This window comes from Homo sapiens, chromosome 3, assembly GCF_000001405.40.
Source record: "Homo sapiens chromosome 3, GRCh38.p14 Primary Assembly".
Lineage (NCBI taxonomy): Eukaryota > Metazoa > Chordata > Mammalia > Primates > Hominidae > Homo > Homo sapiens.
The window spans coordinates 172,181,207-172,208,186 of NC_000003.12; the positions used below are offsets into that span (position 1 = coordinate 172,181,207).

Genomic DNA, 26,980 nt, shown 5'->3' on the forward strand with positions numbered 1-26,980 from the left:
CTGGATACCACGATGAAACCCTGTCTCTACCAAAAATACAAAAATTGGCTGGGTGTGGTGGCGTGTGGTCCCAGCTACTCAGGAGGCTGAGGTGGGAGGATCACTGGAACCTGGGAAGTCAAGGGTGCAGTGAGCTATGATTACACCACTGTACTCCAGAGCTGGGTGCCAGAGTGAGACTCTGTCTCCAAAAAAAAAAAAAAAAAAACAAAAAAAAACACCTTTAGAATTTACTGTCTTGTGGTCAAGTAGAATGTTGGCCCGTCTTCTTCAAAGACAGCCTTTCTCTCCTGATTTCCCTTAAACTAAGGAGGAGGGAAGTAATTAAGATTTTCAGTGGGAAGCCAGGCGTGGTGGCTCATGCCTGTAATCCCGGCACTTTGGGAAGCCTAGGTGGGCATATCACGAGGTCACAAGATTGAGACCTGCCTGACCAACATGGTGAAACCCCATCTCTACTAAAAATACAAAAATTAGCTAGGTGTGGTGGCACACACCTGTAGTGCCAGCTACTTGGGAGGCTGAGGCTGGAGAATTGCTTGAACCCAGGAAGCAGAGGTTGCAGTGAGCCGAGATCACGCCACTGCACTCCAGCCTGGTGACAGAGCAAGACTCCATCTCAAAAAAAAAAAAAAAAAAAAAAAAGATTTTCAGTGGGAGCACAGACTGCTGCTCACTCACTGAGTGGATTTCATTATGTAGTCTCAGTGTTTCCCAGACTGCTTGACAAATGAAGGATGTACGTTATTGCTTTTTCCTTACTTTGGCCTGAGAATGATGCAAAGCAGGCCTGTTGCATTACCAAGCATCTTGGGATGCTGCACTGAGTAATAGGCTTTTAGTATGTGTTACCTTGTCAACAGCAGTGACTGCTATGCCCAGGACATCAGCATTGAGTTGTTTTTGCACTTGTGGGGGTGACTTCCTATTGTCCTACCAGAATCAGCAAGGTAAGTTGGGAGAAATCCTTTGTCAGCAGGATGAGAAGCAGCAAGTGAAGGCTGGGCTCAGTGGAGGAGAACAATTCTAGGAGCTGGCGTGGTCACAGGAAGGATAGAGAACACGGAGGTCAGGAGGAAGCATGAGTCAGGCTGGTGGCTGTCCGGGGTCTTCTCACATTAGCAGCTGGAGAGCCAGGGCTGAAGGTTGAGTCGTAAGTGGCCAGCCTTGTGAATGTGGTATGCTAGACACCAACAGAACTTCCTGGAGCTGGGAGTTTCCTGGGGTCTTCCTGATGTGTAAGAACTGATGATCAGGACCTTACAGGTTATGTGTCTATTTTGGTTGTCCGCTCTGACAGGGCAGTGGTGTTGTGGTAGATACACTTTTGCTGGAGGCATTTGCTAGGTGAGTGGGCAAGATGTGATTTGTATTGGGTGTAATACTCAATCCAGCAGTGCTTCTCTGCTGCAGTCAAGTCCAGACTGCAAGAACCTGTTAAACGCAGGGAATTCCAACATAGAATCTTAAGAAGTTTCTCTACTTTGAATGTATCCTCCATGTTTTTCGTGTCGACAGAAGTAAAAGTGCAGTGATACATGAGTAAATTTTCAGCTCTCTTATCATAGGATTTGTTTAATTTGGTACCAGGATGTAATGAACTTGAGGTGTGTGAATGAGAAATGGAGATGAAGTGTTTTATTAGTTTAGAAAAGGGAGTAAAAGGAACTCTGAGTGTAGGCACGAAGCTTTCAGCTCTGAAACTTCACCTTTTTGCCACACTAGCAGCAGAGAAATTACGGAAAGCTGATTGTGTTGTCTATTTGGCAAGTCAAAGCAAGATACAGCAAGCTAAAAGATGAGTCTTCTAGATTGCTTTCACCTTCTGTGACATGAAATTTCTAAAAATAAGAAATAAGGAGCCCCTGGGCAGTTGCTCTTTAGAATTTGTGTGGACAGATCCAGGTCATCCTTGTTCTTCTTTGTGTTTTTTATGAAGTGAGACTTTCTGATTAGTGAGCCAGAAATTTAATCTGACAGCTTTTAAGTTTGATGATTTAAAAACACAATTGGTTATAAAAATTTTAAATTTATAATTTCCAGTAAAGTAGGAAATGAAAATTACCCTTTTGCTCCCAATTTCACTTCCAGAGGTTTATATTTACCATGTACTAAAACCTATCATTTCTCATCTACTTTATAAATGTATGAAAAACTCTGATTTTATACCTCTTTTGCTGTGTGTCATTAACATGATTTGCTTAACTTAATTTTATGTCCAGTATGGCTCTTGAGAGAGGGAACTGTGTCAGAATGTGTGTATCATTTTAACCCATTTCTGGTTGTTGTTGGAAACACAGTTAAGTTGCTTACTGGTCTTACTGCTGGTTTGCTTTATAAGAAAATTCAATCCGTTTTGTCTTCAGGTAACACTACATTTCTTTCAGTCTTCTGAGACATTTCATGGTTTCACTTATCCAGGTGTTGCTAATCTTACATAGCAGTTTATATGCCTTGTCTATTCTTCTTAACTAAGATAACCTGTTGAAGTATTATTAAATTCAACTATATTATAAAATTATTAAACTGTAGGCGGGATGTGTTTTCTTCCTTTCTCACGTAGCTTCCCTTCCACTCTGGAAATGGAAGGTTTGACATCCCATCATTTGATAGGTCTGATGACTTTCCAGTATTTTAAGCAGTAATATTGAGACTAGGGCTTCTTGTTCCTCCTATCCTTAAGTTTTGGCATAATGATTTGCATTAATATTACTAGCTAACTTTTATTCATTTTTACTCTATGCCAGGTACATGGCTAGATGTGTAACCTCCTCCTGATCCCCAGAATTACTTTAGGAGGTGTAGGTGCTGTTATTAAAAATACAAAGGAAGAAATGGAGGCATAAGTGAATAAAGATAAGTAATTTATAAAGTAAATACAAGTAAAAAATGAATATTAAGTAATTTGCCTGCAGCTATTAAGAGCTATGAAGTGATGGGGTGGAAATTTGTCCAGAGGCCCCCATTCCCCTCAAAGCCCTTTTAATCTCTGCGCTCTGCTGCTTCTTGTACCCTTTTACTCTTGTTCTTTTACTCAGCTCATATTAATGAGCACTCACCATGCCAGGCTTGGTTCTGGGTGCTGAGAAGACAGCAGCAAACAGAACTGACAATGAAGAAAGAGTTAAACAAATAAACATATACCAGAGGAGGTGATGGCGATCAAGAAAATACTAGGTAAGAGAGAGGGAGGGTATGCTTTCTGGCAAAACTTATAAAAATATGAGAAACTATTCTAGTCATTGGTTCTATTTAAACAGCCTAGGACAGTATGAAGAAAAGGCAAGAGTTGAGCGGAAAAAATAAATCAGTCCTAAAAACAGACAAAAACCCCCTCAAATCCAGGACCTATCAAGTTTCATATCTTCATTGAAATGGTGACAAATGGTGTATCAGTGTGAAAACCAGAAAGGCTAATTGTTTGTATACCTCACAGGGCAGTGTGTGATCATCCAGGAGGGACATGTGAAGGAGGTTAAGATTTAAATGTTGGAAACACCAACATTCTAATTATTCCTGAGTTTCAACACCAGTCATTCAAGTAACAGTTGTAAGGAATTTTCTTTTGGAATTTTCCTTTTCCTTTAGGTTCTCCCCTTTCTTTCAGGATGGTGGGGAGCAAGAATCCCTAGGAATATTGTAAAAATATTTCACCAAGAACTGCTAATTAGCAGAGGTCTTTTCTTGTATCCCTTTTGATAATTCCCACAAATGAACTTAAGATTCAGAAGCAAAGGAAAAGAAAAAAAGACTCAAAATACAAACATTAAGAAGGAATATTCTGACCACTTTGGAAGTCACCGTCTTAAGTGCTGAAAAATTATCCATTAAAAATATTTTTTCAAGAGGGTAGATGAAAGCCATTGCTATTTGCCATTTAGAAATTGTGTTTTCCTCAGAGACTGTTGTCATGAACATTGGTCTATTAATAACACTGAACAATCTCCACTCCATCATCCATTTGGTTTGGTTCTGGCAAGTTTATAACTCCTTTCACATGACATATAGATTTTTCATTTATAAAAAGTTGGAAAAAGGATTTCCCATTTCTTCCAGCTAGGTAGACTTAAAAAACATCGTGACCCCTTTCTGGCCCCTCATCTTCTTCCCACTGTACCCATTTATTGGCCTGATAGCCTGAAGATTGATTAGAGAGAAGCGATCCAGATAGACTTGGAAAACACCTAATCCTGTGCATGGCCGCACCTCTGAAAAATTGCATGCACTATAAACCAGAGCATTTCAGCTTTTTAAAACATGCATTGTTACACTGGGGAAGATAGAGACATTGAGTTCTTCTACAGAATGTATCTACCGTATTTTCAAGTTTTTAAGATTGAGATAGTTCTTTTGCAGAGGTCTATTTCCTATTGAGATTTGAAAAGGAATGTTTTGATTTTAAAAACTTAAAAGCAAAACTTAATTCCTTGCTGTTTGCAATATGTCATGATACCTTGTGTCTTTATTTAGCGTACGTTTATCATAGGAAAATTTACTGTTGCCAGAAAACAGGCCAATGGAATCTGTGAATTTTGTATTGGTGATTTAGTAGATTACAAAGAAAAATAATTTGACGTATTTGCGGTGCTTTTTAATTATGAGGAAATTATACTGCATTACTTTAATGTAGACTTTTCACTTTCTTTGCCACTCTCAAATTCAGTCCAGTAAGTGTATTGAATTTTCACCAAATGGCTAGCTCTGGGAGCTGTCACTGATTTAGGGGACCACACTTTCTATTTTGCTTGTGGACTAAGATGTAGAAACCAGATAATAAAAAGGAGCGTTAATATAATTGGCAAAAAGATGGTTATAGATCTTACAAGTGTCTCAAGTGAGAGAGGTTAGAAGAGGAAGAGAGAAGTGAAAGCTGAAGTAAGGATTTCAAAAGTTGGGAAGCTTCACGAATTTTTATGAATTAAGCATTCTTAGAAATCCTTACATCACTCCCTTCTTCCATCAGTAGAACAAAAGCCTTTTTCTCTTATGATGCTCTGCCTACTATAGTTTCTTTACTATATGGAAACTGGAAAAATAAGTAATTGGGTTTATCACTGTTGATGTCTAAATAAAATTTGGGATTACAAGTGCTTTTCTCCTCACCCTCATAACATTTTATAAGAAAAGAACTCCCAATTTGGGGTTTGAGCATGTTCCTCTAAAAGCATCGGAAATACTTGCTTTATTAGTTCAGTTAAAAATTTAAAGATTTATGGTAGGACACATCCATAGGTGACTTCATAGAAGACCACCATGGGACTCAGTGAGTACCCCTCCAGTCTGGGAAAAGCTTGACAAACTACATAAACCTGAGCTGAGGGAGAAAATACACATGCCATTTCCCCAAATTCCTGGTTTCTAGTGTCTTGGCACTATGGTATTTTTACTCTTATTTTATAAATCCTATACCAGCATTTTAAAAAATGAAGAAAATGGCAAGAAAATCATGGAAAATTTGAGTCCTCATTTAGTACCTCCCTATCTTGATTTTTTGTCTTTTAACAGATGAAGTGGTGAAGAGAGCCTGCGATTGAAGATTTTTTCATCTCAGCTTTTTCCCCCTTACCTTGTTCTCTCTCATGTTTCATGATCTGTGTCATAGATATTTCTTCATTACGAGCACTTCGCGGTGTGGCTTTTCAATGTCTGAAGTGGATTAAGTGGCCCACAGTCAGTTCTGTGACTTGAGTTTCAAAAGTAAAATTACCATCAACAATGTGATTCAATTTTATTTTCTATACTAGCTAAAAGCAAGGAACTATATTATTAACAATCTTGGCTTTACTGTAGTTTAAGGCAGGTGATGATGATGCTTATTAGTCCACCTGAAAGAGTCCTTCCAGGTTTTTGGAAGCTTTATTCCTGCTTATTACCTTGCCCTTGAGAAGTCCTTCATGGAAAGTGGAAACACTGGGTTGACTTCTTTTCCCCATATCCTAGTTGAAAGGGACAGCTTATATGTATGTTAGACTGTCCAAAAGTGTTTGTAGAACCTCATTTTAAAAAATCAACTGTATTGTACTTTTTAAAAAATGGGATCTTAAACTCTTTATTAAAAATAATAAATGGAAATGTGTTAAGCAAAAACATTACTTGACCTCTTCTTATTCATTGTGTAATAATAACGTATAAAATAATTGCTTTATTTACATCTGTATTGACCATGGCTGAACTTCTTGCCAGTAGGGGTGTCGTGAGTCCTGTTCATCTCTCTGCCCCTTGGTGGGATGCCTAGCACTTGGCCACTTGGTAAATACTGGAGGAATGATTGAATGTGTGAATCCTGGATTAGTTCTCAGGAATATTATAATAGAAACAACAATGATATTTAGTAAAAATTGAAGACATAATTATCCAGTTACTTCTACAACTTTTAAACCAACTTCAATGAAGTGTAGCCCAAAAACATATTGCAGATGTGTTTGGGTAACTTCTTTCTTTGTATTGTTTTTTCCCCCTCTTTTGGAGACTGGATTCTCACTTTGTTGCGCAGGCTAGAGTGTGGTGGTGCCATCTCAGCTTAGGTGTTCCTCCCATCTCATTGTCCTGAATAGCTGGTGTATGCCACTACACTCAGCTGATTTTTGTAATTTTGTAGAGAGCGGATTTCGCCATGTTGCCTAGTCTCGTCTCAAATGGCTGGGCTCAAGCAGTTTGCCCACCTTGGCCCCCCAAAGTCCTGGGATTACAGATATAAGCCGCGGCCCAGCCTGTATTATTATTAATTATAATTCAACCCTAGGAATATACATTGAGTTATAATTTAAATTCCATTTTTATATTTAAGCAGTTTTTTTTTTTTTTTTGAGACGGAGTTCTGTTCTTGTTGCCCAGGCTGGAGTGCAATGGCGCGATCTCGGCTCACTGCAACCTCCGCCTCCCAGGTTCAAGCGATTCTCCTGCCTCAGCCTCCCTAGTAGCTGGGATTACAGGCATGTGCCACCACGCCCGGCTAATTTTGTATTTTTAGTAGAGACAGGGTTTCTCCATGTTGGTCAGGCTGGTCTCAAACTCCCGACCTCAGGTGATCCACCTGCCTCGGCCTCCCAAAGTGCTGGGATTACAGGCATAAGCCACTGTGCCTGGCCTTTAAGCAAAGTTTTATAGGCATTACTGTTTCCCCTTGCTATGTTTAGAGTGGTGGAACTGAAGTTTCCCCTTGCTATGTTTAGAGTGGTGGAACTGAAGTTGGTTTTTTGTTTCTTTGTTTGTTTGTTTGAGATGGAGTCTTGCTCTGTCGCCAGGCTGGAGTGTAGCGACGCGATCTTGGCTCACTGCAACCTCTGACTTCTGGGTTCAAGCAATTCTCCTGCCTCAGCCTCCAGAGTAGCTGGGACTTCAGGCGGGTGCCACCACGCCCGGCTAATTTTTTGTATTTTTGGTAGAGATGGGGTTTCACCATGTTGGCCAGGAAGGTCTTGGTTTCTTGACCTCGTGATCCGCCCGCCTCAGCCTCCCAAAGTGCTGGGAATACAGGTGTGAGCCACGGCTCCCGGCCCGAAACTGAAGTTGTTTAATTGAGAAGTTTCAGGGCTGTGAAATGTACACTGAGCACACACCCTGCACATTTCATCTTCCCGCCTTTGTTTTGGATTCTATATCTTCAGTGCCCTTAAAGTGTGAAACTCTCAATCAGACCCCGCTTCCTGCACTGCTCCCCAGGTATCTTACATTCCTTGCAACATTTTAGACTGCATGTACTATTTTGTACTCAATTACATAATTTTATTTTGTTCACTATTGTTTTATCCTTGCTTGGGTGTTTTCCTCACTATGGGAAGAAGAACCCTAAGAATGAATCATCTCACTGGGAAAGGAAGCATTTAAAACTTATTTAATGTATTTTTATAATTGGGGAACTGTAAGTATTTCTTTTAGCATTAATGCTTGTTTCCAAGAAATGGTGAACTTACCTAAACTTAGTAAATTTTTGTCATAATAATAGAATATTCACAATTGTTTTTAATTTATAAAAATGTAAGTTGCTTTCTACTAGGGTGTTATTTTAGGGGGGAAGATTTGTAAAAATGTTCAGTCAAAATATTGTCATGTTAATCGTATTTTTCAAGATGTGCTAAAAATGATTTCCCACTTAGAACAAATTAGCTGGAGGCCACCTTATCCCACCTCCAGCCCCCTCTGCAACACCCTTCATAGCTAATTACCTGCTTTTCATTCCAAATTTTCTATGACAAGGTGTTCCTACCTCAACAGGTGATCACCATGGCAACGAGGTAGTCTGTTCTATTTTTGGAGTATGAAAGTAGTGCCTTCTTAAATCTAATAATAAATGAGAGTTCCAGAAAACCAGTGCTTCAAACAAATTTGATTTACTTGAATTTTTTTTTATTTTAAATCACACTTTGGGAGGCTGAGGCAGAAGGATCACTTGAGCCCAGGAGTTTGACACCAGCCTGGGCAACATGGTGACACTCTGTCTATACAAGAAATATAAAAATTAGCCAGGCATGGTGGCACACGCCTTTGGTCCCAGCTGCTCAAAAGGATTGCCTGAGCCTGGGAGGTTGAGGCTGCAGTGAGCTATGATTGTGCCACTGCACAACAGCCTGGGTGACAGAGTGAGACCTTGTCTAAAAAAAAAAAAAAAAAAAAAAAAAAAAAAAAATCATGTCATTCAGTCATGTTTTTATTATTTTTTCAGACTGAGGAGATAGGGAACCAGTTTAATTGTGATCTTTTATTATTTTCAAAAACCAGCAACTACCATTTACTAGTGGCTTATTGTGTCTTGGCAGTATGCTGTTTTTATTCCTATTGTGCAGATGAGGAAACTGATACGTCAAGTCTTGATCAAGTTCACAGAACTAGCAAGAGCAGGAATTGGAATTCTAACCCAGGCGGCCTGCTTTCAGATCCTCCACTCTAATCCATTTCTCTGTCTTGCTGGAGCCTTGCTAGAATGCTTCCTCTCTTGGGAGTTCAGCCGACTGGGAGTGCCTGACCCTTTATAAAGGTGCTTAATATGATGGGCAGCCCTACGCAAATAGGGGTGAATGGAATGAAGGGGGATGAGCATGATGCTATGGGAATGGTAGCAAGTCAGAAACACCTTGGAATTCAGATAGCAGCGTGTCCTGTCACTGATGTTTAAAATTATATAGTTTGAAATATAATGTTTTTAATAAAGTTGGTTGCAGATGACTCAACAGCTATGGGAGTTATCAGAAGGTGATGTAGAAATGCTTTTAGTGTTCTTCCAAATGCTAGGAATCGGATTGCAGCATCTATTTCACTCAGCATTTGGGTCATGAGACTCTCCTTTCATTCTGTAGTCAATTTTCAAATTTTGCCCTTGTAAATATTAAAAGGCTCAAGTGGATAAACTAATTAAACCATAATGGTTCAGTTTATTTTATTGTGACGCCTTCTAGGGAGGGGTTTATGATTAAATATTCAAAAATTTGCCTTGGTTTGATAACCATTGTGTCTTTTTTTGTTTTGTTTTGTTTTGTTTTTTTGAGATGGAGTTTTGCTCTTATTGCCCAGGCTGGAGTGCAATGGCACGATCTTGGCTCACCGCAACCTCCACCTCCTGGGTTCAAGCGATTCTCCTGCCTCAGCCTCCCAAGTAGCTGGGATTACAGGCATGTACCACCATGCCCGGCTAATTTTTTTATTGTTAGTAGAGACGGGGTCTCTTCATTTTGGTCAGGCTGGTCTCGAATTCCTGACCTCAGGTGATCCGCCTGCCTTGGCCTGCCAAAGTGCTGGGATTACAGGCGTGAGCCACCATGCCCAGCCCCATTGTGTCTTTTGTTTAATGATGAAATATTGAAGAAAGAACTTGAAATTATCTTTATATTTTAATCTTATTTCACATCTAAAATCATATAATTATATAAATAGATGAGACTGTAGAATATAACCAACCCTCCTTATGTTCCAGACGAAGAGACTAAGGCTCAGAGAAGCCATGTAATTTGCCCAAGGTTGCACAGCACACAGCTATTGATGAATGGAGCCTGGGTTCTTTAGCCTCATCACACTGAGTTTTTGTGCACGTGCTCATGATTTTTAATTTGGTTGATGTTAACATGTTGGCATATATTGAAAGAAGTGGGAGTGTCCTTGAAGAACTTAACATGTATTAAACATTTGCTTCGTGCTGGGCAAATTTTACTCTTTAAAGTACCATCAGAACTGATAGTATTGTCACTGATACCATCATTATTGTCCTCCTCATCATCATTCCCCATTCTAGAGACAGGAGGGCCTGAATTTCTCAGAGGTTAAGCAGATTCTTTGAGTGGGGGATCTAGGTTTCAAATTCATTGTTGTTGTTTTTAAGAGATGAGGTCTCACTCTGTCACCCAGGCTGGAGTGCAGTGGTGTGATGATGGCTCACTGCAGCCTCAACCTCCTGGGCTCAAACAATCCTCCTGCTTTAGCCTCCTGAATAGCTGGGACTACAGGTGCATGCCACCATGCCTGGCTAATTTTTAAATTTTTTGTAGAGATGGGGTCTCACTGTGTTCCCTGGGATGGTCTTGAACTTCTGGGCTCAAGTGATCCTCCCATAGTGCTGAGATTACATGCGTGAGCCACCGTGCCTGGCCTCAAATTCTTGTGTCAGGCACTGTGTATTTTGCAGCAGGGAAAATGAGGTTTTGACTCTTCTGCCAACTCTCAATCAATTGACTGTAGCTGATTGGAGCGCTGTGTAGAGGATATAGAAGTAGCCTCTGGGCTTAGTGGGACAAATGCAGTGTCTGGTGGTGTATGCCATGGCCCTGAAGTGTGGTCGGGGTGGTACATGTATGTGGTACATATGTTACCAGACCTATAATTTCTCTTAACATAGCAATCTGATTCTTAGTTTCAGAGGATAGGAAACTCAATTTTAAGTTTACCTGGGAAGGTGGAGGAAGGCTTGGTTGGATCAGGCTTTGGAAAGCCAACTCTTGTTAACCAAATACACAGAAGACTGTTTTTTTTGTGTGTGTTTTTTGTTTTTTTTTTTTTTGAGAGGGAGTCTTGCTCTGTCCCCCAGGCTGGAGTGCAGTGGCGTGATCTTGGCTCACTGCAACCTCCGCCTCCCTGGTACAAGCGATTCTCCTGCCTCAGCCTCCTGAGTAGCTGGGACCACAGGCATGTGCCACCACCCCTGGCTAATTATTATTATTATTATTTTGTGTTTTTAGTAGAGACAGGGTTTCACCGTGTTAGCCAGGATGGTCTTGCTCTCCTGACCTTGTGATCCGCCCGCCTCGGCCTCCCAAAGTGCTAGGATTACAGGTGTGAGCCACCGCGCCTGGCTGGTATGGTCTTTAATTGTAAGAAAATTGAAGAGGGAGGCAAGTAAACAAAGATTTTACAGTAATAACTCTAATCTGAGTGAATAGAGAAGTTCTTGATTATAGCAGAGGCCAGGAACTGTTTTATAAGTACTAATACTAATTCAGTAATTTTTACCTTTCTAGTGTGGTTCACTCACATGTGTTTATTCTATAAATGTCTTATTTTATAAATGTTGACGGTTAGGATCTCTAATTACAGGGCATGAATATATATATATATATTTTTTACCTCATCTTATTGAAGATTCTCAGATGAAGAGCCTGTAGCCTCCAGTGGACTGACTTTAGTAAAAAGGCTTTAATTGCAGAACCTCTGAGTTGACTGTAACAAATGCAGTTTATTCCCCTAGACTGGAAATAACAAAACCAACCAGTTTGAGTTTTTGTCAAAACTCAAACTCGGTTATCTGAAAGAATTTATTATCTGTAGAGTTTCAGTATGAAGAATGCAGTTACTTTGAAAATTAATGATTGTCTTAAATGTCTGCTTGTGATTGTTTGTTAATTGCTTATTTTTGTCCTTTTGTCCTATCTCTCCAAATCTGTCCTCTTGTGTTACTGTGTCAATATTAGGTCATAGCCAGCCTCCCTCCCTCCCTCCCTCCCTTCCTTTCCCTGCCTCCCTTCCTTCCCACCTTTCCCTCATTCCCGCCCTTCCTCTCCCTCCCTCCCTCCCTTCCTTTCCATCCCTCCCTCCGTTCCTCCTCCCCTCCTCCCCTCCTCCCCTCCTCCCCCTCTCCCTCTACCTTCCCCCTCCCCCTCCCCTCCCTCTCCCATCCCCCTCCCCTCCCCTCCCCTCCCCTCCCCTTCCCTTCCCTTCCTTCCTCTAACTGCTTTCTCTATAATTTTTTTCAAGATATTTAGGTTGCTAGTCTCAAGTATAATAAGGGATATTGCAGAATATTTAGATGCATTAGATGGATCATATTACTCAATTTTTAGTAGACCAGTTACTTTGAGTGACTTTTTGTTTTGGTGTGTAGCTCCTAATTCATGGTTGATTTGTAATCTTATGCTTGGGGTTAAGGGGTCTGCTCTGCATGCCCTGTAGCATTTTGATCGCTGGCTGATGGCACCTCTGCCATCCCCACTACTGCTGGACTTTGTCTAGGATTTGGGAAGCCTGGGTCTGTCTGGATTCACTTGGCCTGTTTTCTTTCCTCCTCCTTGTGCTTGTACTCCATGTTGGAAGGGACCTGTATTTGATGTCTAGAAATGTGCCCTTGTGAGGAAAGTACATCACAGACTATACTAGTTCCACAAAAGGAAGATCAACAAAGCTTTTCAAAAATAACATCATCTTTTTAATAACTAAAGTGTTCACACTGAAGGGTGAATGGAAGAAAGGAGTAAGTTTTTGGATAAATAAGAATTGTGGGTGAGCAGGCCAAATGTTAAAAATTCTCTTAGTGGTGGTCGGGCGTGGTGGCTCACGTCTGTAATCCCAGCACTTTGGGAGGCTGAGGCGGGCGGATCACAAGGTCAGGAGATTGAGACCATCCTGGCTAACACAGTGAAACCCCGTCTCTACTAAAAATACAAAAAATTAGCTGGGCGAGGTGGCGGGCGCCTGTAGTCCCAGCTACTTGGGAGGCTGAGGCAGGAGAACGGCGTGAACCCGGGGGGCGGAGCCTGCAGTGAGCCGAGATCACGCCACTGCACTCCAGCCTGGGCAACAGAGCAAGACTCCATCTCAAAAAAAAAAGAAAAATTATCTTAGTGGTTATACTGTTGTAGAGTAGTATTGATTGATGCATTTATTCAACCAGCAGCCCTTATGTGGTTCTGCTGTTTCGTACTCTAGTAGATACTTTGAGAGCTACAAAAATGTAAACGTGTGATTCTTGTCGTTGATGGATGACCTTACCTGTCAAGTGAAATGAGACATGTTTTTGTTTTTGGTTATTTGCCATTTAAATGGATTTTAAAATCCTTCGTACTCACTCCAAAGTTATTGTTTTCTGCGTCTGGATTCTACCTTACTGCTTCTATAAAGTTGCATCTTTTCATCAAAATTATATATGGTACTGCTAAATGGGTTGGTGGAAATACTCATTGAAAAGAATATAATTATGACATAGATCATATACATAGCTTCACATTAAGAAAAGGGTATTGAGTATTTGAAACACTTGACATTGTGTTTATAAATATCTACTCATCTAGTCCAGCACTGAAGAGTCATATAAGTACTTAATTTCAGAGGTGAATCACAAGTGGCATTAAAAATGTATTTTTCTTGTTACCTGGGGCCTATACATTTAATGAGTTTAAATTATTCCTTTGGCCTCAACTCTGGTGGGTAACCTAATTCTAATACCATGGTGAATGGTTACTGTGACTACCCTGTTGCTAAGAAACCTGTTATGTTATCAGGTTGCCTTGGCGAAGTAACGGCTTCTTAGGACTCCTTAGCACCGCTGGGAGGTTGTTAATCAGAGCTGTGGAGGACCTTACAGAATTAGTTTCCAAGGTTATAACTAATTTTTCTTTAGGAAGAGAAATAAATCTAAGTCTGTAAAAACTGAAAGAAAACAAAGTCTAAATTATTTTCAGTTAAATCATGACCTTTAGTTATTTTAAAAAAAGTTTGATCTTGAGATAAAAACCTATTTTTACTAGTATTTTTACTAGTTACAAGGATCTATGTCTTGAATGGTGGCACCCCAACCCCCACCCCTCTTAACTTAGCATTCCATTTTTGTTTGCTTAGAGTGATTCTTGGCAGGGTATTTGCAATGTATAGAAGAGTATTTGAACTGAGATCCCGAGGGAGAACACTGTGTGAAATTATTTTAGTCATTTGATATCAATTGCTCTTGCTATGAAATGATTGAACATTTTATTTTAAACAAATGGTACACTATGTAGCATTTTTTAAAATGCACCACACTTGATACTGGGTCAATAATTCTGTTCAAGGCAGGAAGCTGGCTTTCACAAGCTTTGCTCCATGGCAAAAGGTTTCAGATGCTTAAAGCTCCACAACACACGTTAAGAATCTGAGAAGTTGTGCTGCTGTTAATTTTGTGTAACTTAGCTCTCTTCCACATTGTTTTCTCTTTTTATCTCTATGCCTGGAGGTGCTTGTTTTCAGCAAATTACATTTTGAGAAACTCTGTTCTTGACTATTGTTTAGAGGTACAATGCAGAAGGGGTCATTCCCATTTGACACCATTCTCATTTGTAGCAGTACAGGTTAAGTCACAAGCCAGCCTGAGGAATAGGATGAGCTGTTCAATTACACAGGAGTGGGCACAGTTAAGAACCCAGGCTTTGGAATTCCAGTCAGAGTGCCTGGACCCAATTTTGGGTCTTCTGCCTCAAACTTTTTGACCTTAAATCAGTTACATAATGACACTAATCCTCAGTTTCCTCAACAGTAAATGAGAGATAAAACCCTTTAGATTTCAAAGAGTTGTGTGGATTAAATGAGATTATATGAAATGCTTAGCATAATTTCTGGCACTTAATGTGAGCCTTTGTAAATGTACAATGTTAATTATTATAGAGGACACTTTCTGGGGAGCTGTGAGTTGTTTCTTTAAATCTGAAAGGTTTAGGTACTTGGCATTTGATGAAGCCACCCACACTAAAGCTTTTAATTGCTGGGAAGATTTTTCAGATTTTTAAATTTAATTTATTTTTAAATTTAACCTTAAATGTAAAAACATTTTTTTAGACACAGTGTCTTGCTCTGTTGCCCAGGCTGGAATTCAATGGTGTAATCATAGTTCATTGCAGCCTCGAACTTCCAGGTTCAAGGGGTCCTTCCCACCTCAGCCTCCCAAGTACCTGAGACTACAGGTGCCTACCACCATGCCCAGCTAATTTTTTTTTTTGTAGGGATGGGGGTCTTGCTCTGTTGCCTAGGCTGGTCTCAAACTCTTGGCCTGAAGGATCCTCCTGCCCTGACCTACCAAAGTACTGGGATTAGAGTCTCCCAGCCTTTAATATTTTATAATTTATTTCCATATGTCTTTTTCCTTGAGTTTAGAGTTGGACATTCTAAGTTTTAGCCCTAACTCTTGGTCTTTCTGGGACATCAGTTTTCTCATCTGTAAAATGGAGGTGGGAATTGGCTGACATTTCAGGTCACATTCTGTGATCTGACCCCTGGGAGAGCTTGGTGAAAGGTTCCCTTCTGATTGTATCCTGAATAGAAGAGGGAGGGTCTAGAGGTTAAGGACAGCCCTCAAAGTCTTGTAATGTTAGGATGAGCCACACAGATGATGGCACCTCACGTTTCGCTTTTTCTTGTCCAAAGAAGACAGCCGGAGCTCTCAGAGTAAGTGAGTTAATTAATGGGCAGTCTGTATTTGGGTTAAATATATGCTTTCGGTTATTACTTTTCTCTTTTTTAAAGAACAATTCTTGGCTGGGCATGGTGGCTCACGCCTGTAATCCCACCACTTTGGGAGGCTGAGGCGGACGGATCATGAGGTCAGGAGTTTGAGACCAGCCTGACCAACATAGTGAAACCCTGTCTTTACTAAAAATACAAAAATTAGCCAGGTGTGGTGGCATGTGCCTGTGGTCCCAGCTACTCGGGAGGCTGAGGCAGGAGAATCACTTGAACCTGGGAGGTGGAGGTTGCAGTGAGCCGAGATGGCACCACTGGATTCTAGCCTGGGTGACAGAGTGAGACTCTGTCTCAAAATAAAATAAAATAAAATAAAGTAAAATAAAATAATAATTATTTAAAATGTTTGAAACAGCCTCAAAACTGCAGAATTGTTACAAATACGGTGCAAAATACTTGACAGCACTTGTTAGCTAACCCCAACTTAGTTTAGAGAAATAATTTGAATAGCACAGAGAACATGTTTTTTCTGAACCGTTAGAGAGTAAATTGGTCTCTTGATGCCCATCAACCCTGAATATTTGTTGTATTTCCCATAAACAAGGATGTTCATCTGCATAACTACAATACAACCATCAACATTAGGACACTTACTTTGATGTCTATATTTCTACTGTTGAATCCTCAGACCCCATTGAGGTTTCGGCGGTGAGCCCCACAAAATCCTTTATAGCACAAGGATTCAGTTCAGAATTATATGTGTCCTTTAGTTGGTGTGTCTTTTTAATTTCTTTGAGAGTGGCACAATAATGCAGTCTTTTTCAGAATGCTGTGACCTTGTTACTTGTGACAGTTACAGGTCAGCTGTTTTGTAGAATGTCCTATTTCAATTAGTTGATATATCCTCATGATTAGATCCAGGTTATCCATCTTTGGCAGGAACATCACAGAAGTGACACTGTGCTCTCATTGCATTCTTTCAGGTGGTCATAATATTGATTTGCCTCATTACTGGTGATGATCACTTTGATCATTGACTAAGATGGTACCTGCCAGTCTTCTCCGTTGTAGAAGTCCTAATTTTCCCATTGTAATGAGTAAATATTTTGTAAGGTGGTAGTTCAAAGTGATATAAATATTCCTTTGCTCATCAGATTGTTGATTTATTCATTATTTGTAATAGTACCAACTCATGGTTTTGTTACAATTCAATGGGTTATATATAATACATTACTATTTTTTTAATGCTCAAAATTCCTTTAACCCATCTTATGTGTGCTTTTAACATGTCCTCTTCATTCTTTGAGCACATCTTTTCTGGTTCAAAGAGATGTTTCATATTCATCTTGTACTTTTCCTGCCTTAGTCCTGAATGAGCCATTTCTCTAAGAAGTCCTGGCTTCTTTTTTAATAGAGAATCGTATTTAGAAGCCAAGATCTGTGGGGGGGTACATGTGCCTGTTAGTATTGCAGTTGTGCCTCTCCAAAACTCTTAGTGGATAGAGCTGGAGAATACTTGAATGTATGTATGAATATACTTGGACACTCACCATAGGTAATACACATGCATAAAAACACATATTTATTTTTACATCTTACTATGTAGTTTGATATCAAGGAGTTTACACTGATACCTCCAATTCTGATCCAACACTCAAGGGGTTGTTCTAATTCTTTCTATATTTGTAAAACTTCTACCATTTCTATGACAGAAATCTGACACGTGTACATGTAACCAGCCTCTCAGTGCATCTTTCCCTCACACCCTAGGCTCTGATACCTGATGTCAGACTGCCATCGTAGGTGATGTCTTCCTCCTGACTGTTTTCCACATTGCATAACAGGCCATTCTTTTATGTGGATACTCCATGTTGCGCTGTTCCCACATCTAGACATCTTCCTTATCCCACTCCTGACTCCCCATATCAAGCTGACCCCCTAAGCCTGGGATATCTACCTTGGAGGTAGGGAATAGGAACAGGAAGAAGAAGAAGAGCTCTTTTCTTTTCCATTTCCTTGATAAGGTCTCATTCTGTCACCCAGGCTGGAGTGCAGTGGTGTGATCATGGCTCTCTGCAGCCTTGGACTCCTGGGCTTAAAGTGATTCTCTTGCCTCAGCCTCCCGAGTAGCTGGAACTACAGGTGTGCACCACCATGCCTGGGTGATATTTAAATTTTTTTTGTAGATACAGGGTCTCACTTTGTTGCCCAGGCTGGTCTTAAACTCCTGGCCTCAAATGATCCTTCCTCCTCAGCCTCCCAAAGTGCTGGGATTATAGGTGTAAGCCACCATGCTTGGCCCATTTTCATTTTTAATATTCCAAGGGAAGCTGTTTAGAATATTTTATTTTATTTTTTATTTTTTTTTTTTTGAGACGGAGTCTCGCTGTCGCCCAGGCTGGAGTGCAGTGGCGCGATCTCGGCTCTCTGCAGGCTCCGCCTCCCGGGTTCACGCCATTCTCCTGCCTCAGCCTCCCGAGTAGCTGGGACTACAGGCGCCCGCCACCTCGCCTGGCTAATTTTTTGTATTTTTAGTAGAGACGGGGTTTCACCGTGTTAGCCAGGATGGTCTCGATCTCCTGACCTCGTGATCCGCCCGCCTCGGCCTCCCAAAGTGCTGGGATTACAGGTGTGAGCCACCGCGCCCGGCTAGAATATTTTATTTTTGAAAACACTATTGAACTTACCAAGGAAAATGTTATGTATACAGTTAAATCCTTTCTTAATGTCATCAATAGGTTCTTGGAAACTGCTATTTTAAGCAAAATGATGTATAATGAAACTAATTTTACCATAGGCTAATTGATATAAATAGAATTAAATTCCTGTGGCATATTTTAGGCCCCCAAAACATCACCAAACTTCTAAACAAAGACCCCAAACATTTCTAATGGTAAACATGGAAATAAATGTGAGCTATACACACATTTAAGAAAGATTGATAAAAACAAGGAAGACAATTATTTACCCAGTGAGTGAGTGACAGCAGTCATGGTGGTGGCAGGTTAAATTAAGGAATAAATGTTTGCGAAGTGAAAATTGTGAGGAACATCTCCTGCCACCACACAGTTTACAAACAAACAATAAATATGGTGGGTTCTCTGCGCGCTTTTGTGTTTCGTGCATTTGTATGGTTACCATATACTTTACACATTTCTGTTTTACAATACTTTGTATTCATTCATTCATTCATTCATTCATTCATTCTCTAACCCATTATTCCAGTTCAGTGTTGCGGGGGCCAGAGCCTATCCTGATATTACAAGGAACAGATGGAACCCACCCTGGACAGGATGTCATTCCATCACAGGGCACACTCAAACACATACCCACACTCACTTAGACTGGACAGTTTAGACACACCAGTGCACCTAATGTGCACATCTTTCAGATGTGAGAGGAAACTGGAGTACCTAGAGAAAACCCACACAGACATGAGGAGAAGAGAACGGGGAAACTCCACACAGAGGCCTTGGCCAGGAGTCAATTTTGTTTTCTCTTATCAATGTTATCATGAAATGATGTTGAATGAAACGTTATTCAAAGACCTGCTGTATACAGAAGGTCCCCAATGGTTAGACTTGTGATTTTTTGGCTTTATAATGGTGCAAATGTGATATGCATTTGGCAAAAACCATATGAGTACCCGTGCAAACCATTCTGTTTTTCACTTTCAGTACAGTATTCAATAAATTACATGAGTTATTCAATACTTTATTATAAAATAGTGTTTATGTTAGATGCGTTCACCCAACTGTAGGCTAATGTAAGTGTTCTGAGTGTGTTTAAGCCAGGCTAGGCTAAGCTATGATGTTTGGTAGGTTAGGTGTATTAAATGCAATTTTGACAAGATATTTGCAACTTATGCTGGGTTTATCAGAATGTAACCCCCCTCTTAAGTGGAGGAGCATCTGTAATTGTTTTTGTCATTTGAGCCGTAGTTTAAACAAATGAATGCAATGGTATATTCCCTCAGATAAGTGACCTAGCTTGAAAAATAAAACTGTACCTGAAAACTAGGTAAAAATGGATCTTGTTGTTTGGGAGGGGAAAGAGAATTTGAAGCGTTTTCTCAAAAGGGTACCCAGCACCCGAGTACCTTTCTTTTGTTTAATTTTTAACAAAAGAGCTATCTTTGTGGCAATTGTTTTCAATATCTCTGCCGTACACATATGTGGGCAGAAAGCTAGAGTTTGAATAACACTTGTTAATGGAAACCAACTTCTTTATGGATTTGTTTGAACAGTGGTTCAGAATTTTTATGCTTACTATCTTATTCCTGTTTGAATACTTGGCCAGCCATATTCTCAGAGCTCCCTGCCCCAGCCAGCCTCTCTAATGGCTCCTACGGTGAAGTTCTGTTAGCGCTTCCATTGGAAACCTACCAGAATGGCTGGGTTCTGGCATGGTGCCCTCTCACGAAAGCTGCAGCCCCAGTGGGGGAAGCGCAGGGTGGAGTTTTTCCACCCTGCTTCTGGCTGCTCTCCAGACCCTGGAGTGTCTGTGAGGTTTTTTTTCCTCTTTTCTTTCTCCCATAACAACAAACAAACAATAACACTACTACTTGGACATATTAGGGACATGGGATATGCGTGCGTACGTGCGGTGGAGTGGGCCTTTTAGTTAGCTCCCCAGCAGTGTTCTTCTGCCACTGGGCTCTTTTGTTCAGTGTGACCTCATGAGAAGTGGTAGCAGTACTGTAAGCTCTAGAGGATTTCCCTATCATGGGCCTTTTATTTCCCTGTGGTTGTCTAAGCAAAGCAATGGGAATCTCCTGGTGGGTATTAACTATCTTTCTAGACCATTCTTTGCACGAAATGCTGACTTAATGAGAGTCTGAGTCACCCTTAGCAATTTCTCCAACTCCAGACCATGGCGTGTTACAAGATGGCAGCTGTTTAGTGGATATCAGAATAGCCTTCATGTTTTCATGGCAGGGTTACCAGATTTAGGAAATAAATTTACGGGATGCCCAGTTAAAGTTGAATTTCAGATATACAGCATTTTTTTAGTGTAATTGTGTCCCATGCAGTACTTGGGATATGCTGGTATGAAAAGTTATTTGCTGTGTTTTTGAAATTCAACTTTATCTGGGTGTGCTCTTTTATCTGGCAGCTCTACTTCGTGCATTTTTGCATGATGTAATAACTTGGATACATGTTGTACTTAGAATATTATGTATATATGATTAGTTCCTAAAAAGTGACTGGCTTCACAAATAAACCCTTGAGTGCATGAAATTTTGAGCTCCTTAAAAGGCAACTGCAGTTGAGCTGGCAAATCACATATGCCAGATTTCCAGACTGAGTTGAGTCGGCCATCATGAGGCAGGAACTTGAAGTTACATCATCTAGAATTTCCCGGTACCCTTTTTTTCCTCCCTCTCTTTAATGACTCTTTATTTGTAAGTTAGAAATTTGGGCTAAGCATTCCCTGCAAAAAGGCGTCTTTCCTTTATTCATTGAAAAACACAGAAATCTTTAGTCTTAAGCAATACAGACTGGTCTGTATGAGGTTGTATTTGTGCATGTAGAAAGAAAAAGTAAGAATTTTATAAAGCCTTCTGCCTTGCTTTGGCTTTTTTTCGGCCAGTATTTCCTTTTGTGTATTCTACAAGAAGACCAGAGAACTACACATGATAGTAGTAAAGATCCCTCCCGTCCCCTGTTAGATACTTTCTGTCATATCCTTTGACACACTTGATTCAACTAACACCCCCTTGTAAGGGCAAGTGGTTATTCCTAATTTTGTAAGTTAGAAATTCTCCAAACGGAACAGTGTATTGGTCTCTTTCCCAAAGGATGCAAGATTTGTCTTCTTATAAAGTCTTAAGAATGGTCTCATTAACCATCTGTTATTGAATGAGTAGATTCCCGTGTAGACCCTTCTGTTCTCAGGGCGGTCATTCCACCTTCCCCTGAGTCTCTGGTCCATGACCCCTGGAAGAGATTGCCTGAAAGCACATTCATAATTTTGCTCCACATTCATGATTTGGCTTAAACAAAATTAAGAATTATTACTTGAGCCTTTTTAATAGTTTGCTGCGGGTGTGGCACACTTTTTCTGTAAAGGGCAAGATGGTAAATAACATGCTTTGCAGACATACAGTCTCTGATGCATACTCTTTTACAACCCTTTAAAAATGTGACAACCATTTTTAGCTTGTGAGCTGTACCAAAGCCGGCCATGGGCTGGCAGTAGTTTTCCTGAGTGTTTGTCCTTAAAAACATATTACATGGGGAGTTCTGTGGATTCTGAAATTTACCCATTATTTTCGATATATATAGAAGTGGGAATGAATACTTAGCAATAAAAATATGTGACAAGCTGTGGGCACTCTAACATCCTGGAGGACATTGTCTCTCTCCCTGCCCCCCTTCCCCTGTGGCACTTACTCATATTTTTAAAAGGAGAATGTTGTAATTTCTTGTTAAAATTTTGGATTTTGTGTTAATGCTAAACAAAATGTCATTCTGATGGGTTTCTTTTGTCAGGTATGTAGGAGCAAGTGGTCAGATAGCAAATTCATGCCCAAAGGCGGGAGAAAGCAAGACAGGACATCGGTTTGTCTTCTCTTTGAATTTATTTATTTATGACATTGAGGATTTGGTGAAATTTTGGTATAACAGAACATCCTAGCCAGTTTTTCTATCTTTCTGAGCCATCAATTCTTAAGAAACTGCATAAGCATTTTATTTTGAAACCTTATGGGGAAGGATGTTACATTCACATAAGAATGAAACTCAATAGGAGGTTTGCCCTTTGATTTGCTTTATCTTTTCGCTGATTTTCTTTGAAAGATTATGCTTGGTGTTCTTCCAGATCGCAGTGGTAACAACAGGCAGGCTCCCAAAAGCACCTAAGGGGAGAGACATCCCATGAGAATCCATCATACATTTCATACCTTTCCAGCTGCTGCTCTTAGTGATTGGTGTAAAGCCATTCAGGCACCCCTTGTCTTTTATTACACAATGAAATTGGGGTATTTCCCGTCACTTTTTTTCCCTTCAGACTTTTACAAATGATTTTTGGGCCCGAATGTGATTGTGAATAGACAGACATAGCTTCTAAGAAAGCCGTTGGGACCCACTGAATTGTGACTGTCAGACAAAGGCATTTTGTTTAGAAGGCTTGTCCCAAAGTGGTGTTGGAGTCTGAAAGAAGGGCCGCCAGCGTCTCGTTCTTTCTGCTGTGAACTAATAGGAAAGCTGATGTTTGCTGAGTGGATGGCTGTACTCACTGTCCAAACAGATCTGTGTTTGCCAACTGTGAACATATTGCTGCCTCTGTGAGGCACTCCATCATGCCTTGAATGGATCCTCTTGTGTTCAGAATTTTCTGACTCAAAGCGAGGGAGAGAGAAATATTTCTTTCAGACTTCAGCATTCACTGTAGCATCCATAGTCTCATCAGACCTTTAGAAACCAAGCATGCACCGGAGACGCTTCTTAAGGAGAGTGAGAAAAGAGCAGAGAAAAAGGAATAAAGAGACAGCCCCATTGAAATGCCTTTATTCTGACCATTTGTGGCCAAGTTTTCATAAATAAACCAGGCTGCCTTGGCAAATAGAATTGTGAGAATATTTTTTATTTCTCCTGAGCAAAATAGAACTCTGAGTTTCCAACTCATGGTCCATTTCTGTGCATGTATACATACATGCACAGACAAAAATAAAAGCATAGAATACATTTATAATGTGTTATTAAATGGGTGACAGAGTTTTATTCCACCTGGATAATCCCTTAAGAAAAGGCTAATTGATACATATGAAGGAGTTTTGATTACTTTATAAACTGTCTCTTAGTTTTAGGGTTACAAACCTATTGTATATGAAAGGGTGAAAATAAAGTGGGTTTTTTTGTTGTTGTCAGTTTAGTCACTTTCTATAAGTTGACAGTAATAGTACCTTCTGGCAAAGTCTAGTATTCGCTGCATGAACTGCGGACAGAGCCCATGGAAAAGATGTGGCATTCCTTGCAATTACCCATTGTTTTGTGTGTTAAATTTCAGAAACCTTGGTTGAGTGGGTGGAAAAACAACATTGCTGATAATGAAACTCAGTGAGCACATGGCATGCACAGGACACTTACCATTCTGGTCTGTGTTGCTTATTGAGTACATGTTCAACACTGAACAGCTTCACTCGGCATTGTAGTGGAAATGGAGAGAGACGGGAAGGACAGAATGCTTTTGTGAGTGGAAAGGTAGATTTCTGTGTAGTTCTCTGCAGCAGTAAACCGTTGCCTGGCCTTAGTCAGTGAGAACTCAGTATTTATTTGCCTACCTGTAGTAAATGATTTTTTTGGCATATATAACCCATAAAAGTTTAAAACCAGAATTACCATCCCCCGCCCAGGCTACAGTATTTACCATTTGGTTGTCTGGGTATTCTTATCCAGGACTAACTGTACTCATGGAAAAATCTAGTTCTTTAAACTTACTGGAAATATAACAGGAATAGCAGGGACAGTTGGGGTAGGAGAGGGCCTGGCAACCATGGCTGCCATTGATGTAATAGTAATGATCTCAGCTAGCCCAGCTGGGAAGCCAACCATGTGCCAGGTACTCTTCTAAGTATTTTATATATGTTAACTAATTTCTTCCTCAGACAATCTTGTGAAATTGTTACCATTGCTTTCTTCATTTTACAGGTGAGGAAACCAAGGCACAGAGAAAGGTTTACTAACATGCCTAGGATCTCACAACTAGTCATTTGTGGAGTGTGGAATTGAAGTTAGAGGAGGATGGCCCCAGTATCTGCCACAATTACTACAGCACTACGGTTGGCGAGGGAAGAAATCTGCATTCTCCTTGTAGAGTTTTCTATTTATCTTTCCTTTATTTCTTGGAGTATGTGTATCATATCATATGGTTTTGGAAAAGTGTCTGAAGGTCATCAAAATCTAAGTACTAGGAGGCTAAGATCAGAAAGATAATGCATTCTGTAGGTAAAGAAGTTTGCTCCTCTTTGTTTTTGTCACAGAAAGAAGTTCCACATTTAATTAATTCCTGGTTATTATTATTATAAATTGGTTGAATTACATTGTGGTCTAGTAGATAGGGCTGGGTAATACATTTTGTTCAGAACTTAATTGAGAGCTTGATTTTAAACTTAAAGTCAACCATTATGAGGTATCTTAGTATAAAATCAGGATATTTATATGTAGTTAGATGCTAATATAAAAATATTCAATCATATTTCTTTATGATGATGGATTGAGCGGGGATATGTTTATATGTAAAGCTTGGAAGCAACATTTTTACAACCGTAGGGTAATAGTACTATTGCCTAGTGTAAGTAGCTTTTCTCAAGAGACTATAGGGATGATTGAAATTGGCCAGTTTCAGATGATTTTTATAGGAGTAATGTTTATTGCAGCTCATTAATGCCATGTTTAATAGTTACTGGTTATCTGAAATGTTGCCCTGAGTGGAAAGGGGGTCATATGGTTCCATTGCTAGAGGATTGGACCTAAAATGGTTTTGCGTGAATAATGTTGTTTGTAAGTTATTTCTTGGGATCCTATCTCAAAGAAAGTGTACTTGAAAGGCCAGGCGCGGTGGCTTATGCCTGTAATCCCAGCACTTTGGGAGGCCAAGGCTGGTGGATCACCTGAGCTCAGGAGTTTGAGACCAGCTTGGCCCACATGGCAAAACCCTGTCTCTACTAAAAATACAAAAATTAGCTGGGGGTGGTGGCGGGCGCCTGTAATCCCAGCTACTCAGGAAGCTGAGGCATGAGAATCACGTGAATCCAGAAGGCGGATGTTGCAAGGAGCCGAGACTGCACCATTGCATTCCAGCCTGGGCAACAAGAGCGAAACTCCATCTCAAAAAAAAAAAAAAAAAAAAAAAAAAAAGTATATTCTGGAGACTATATTTTAGAAAGTGAGTTATAAAAAAATAAAAATAGGTCACACTTTATTGTGATGTTTTATGCAGTTTGTATAAACACCGACTGACTGAACTTAAAATTTTTGCACATTGTATTGACCACATGAAACCTATCAAGATGTTTTAGTATATTGGGTTTGCTATAAAACTAAAGTTTATTCAGGTTTCTTCTTTTGAGAGAGAGATTATGACAAAAGAATAGCTTGGCTTTCTGCCCCAAGAATCTTTGTTTTGGCCTTTTTTGCCTTTGTTTTGCTTATTTTGTATGTATTGGACCTGTTTTTGCCTATTTTGAACCTGTTTTGGAGGGGCTACCAAACTGCCAAACCAAAGAGCTCATCACAGAAGAGGCAATTTCACACCCAGAGAATTGGTAGTCCCAACTTTCTGAATGACACCTAAGATCATTACCTTAATTTTTTTATCTGCTAGTCAGTAATTTTCAACAGTCTTTTCTGCTTGGTTTAGGTTTAGTCTGTAAAAGGGAAACAGGATATTAATTTGCAAGAAAACCTGGAGAAATTGGAAAACTTCTGTTGGGTATTACTTTTGCCTGATACCTACTCAAAATTAGAAACAGAAATACCTTATATTATTAGCACTTTCTCCACAATCATTAATATTAAAAATACAATGGGTATCAAATAAATAACACAGTTTACAAGGAAAAAAGTGACCAAAGCACCCTGTGGATCAGATTTGACTACTTGCTGCTTTTGTGAACTTGTGCTTCACTCTGTGTTTCTGTTCTGTAGGTTTTGATAGGCTAGACTTCTCCAGATATATTAAAACATGAATAATTTGGTAAATAGGCTGAGGTTTTATTGAGGTTTACCTGGGCTCAGGAGGGAGGACAGGTGTGCTGATTGGTCCATGGGCGGCCATGGGCGGGGCCTGGAAAAAGTATCATCCAATTGGCCAAAAGGCATCAAGGAGGTTCTCACTCCCAGTAGCAGTGGCTCACACCTGTAATCCCAGCACTTTGGGAGGCCTAGGTGGGTGGATCACTTGAGGTCAGGAGTTCAAAACCAGCCCGACCAACATGGTGAAACCCTGTCTCTACTAAAAATACAAAATTAGCTGGGCATGGTGGCACATGCCTGTAATCCCAGCTACTTGGGAGGCTGAGGCAGGAGAATCACTTGAATCCGAGAGAAGGAGGTTGCAGTGAACCGAGATTGCACCACTGCACTCCGGCCTGGGCAACAAGAGCAAAACTCCACCTCAAAAAATAAAAAAAAGATAATTCAGTAAAATTAAAGGGTTGAAGTGTAGCTTAGTAAAACCTTAGCCTTAGCAATGCTTTCCCCAGTCTTTAGAGGGAAGATTTGTTTTTAATTTCCTTGTAAATTTCATTCTATAAAGTCCATGCTGGACAGCAGATTTGGTGATTAAGATCTGAACCTTTATTTTTTTCTTTCCTATAGCTGACATTAGTAAGAATATAATATATTGTGATATGAAC

At 40.1% G+C, this 26,980-nt stretch overlaps 1 protein-coding gene across 11 annotated transcripts in view, besides 2 other annotated features; it reads left to right on the plus strand.

Annotated features, from left to right (window-relative positions):
* Positions 1-26,980, plus strand: part of FNDC3B (fibronectin type III domain containing 3B) — a 362,092-nt gene that overhangs the window by 141,629 nt on the left and 193,483 nt on the right. The gene's annotated exons all lie outside the window — the stretch shown is intronic.
* Positions 913-1,207: an enhancer, noted in NCBI's record as "tiled region #6188; K562 Activating DNase unmatched - State 14:Gen5'". NCBI's record gives its function as "activates a minimal TATA promoter and a strong SV40 promoter by Sharpr-MPRA in K562 cells {active_cell/tissue: K562}" and the evidence as "EXISTENCE:reporter gene assay evidence [ECO:0000049][PMID:27701403]".
* Positions 12,889-13,079: a silencer, noted in NCBI's record as "fragment chr3:171911885-171912075 (GRCh37/hg19 assembly coordinates)". NCBI's record gives its function as "represses an EF-1alpha promoter that drives an FKBP-Casp9 reporter gene in an ReSE screen in K562 erythroleukemia cells {active_cell/tissue: K562}" and the evidence as "EXISTENCE:reporter gene assay evidence [ECO:0000049][PMID:32094911]".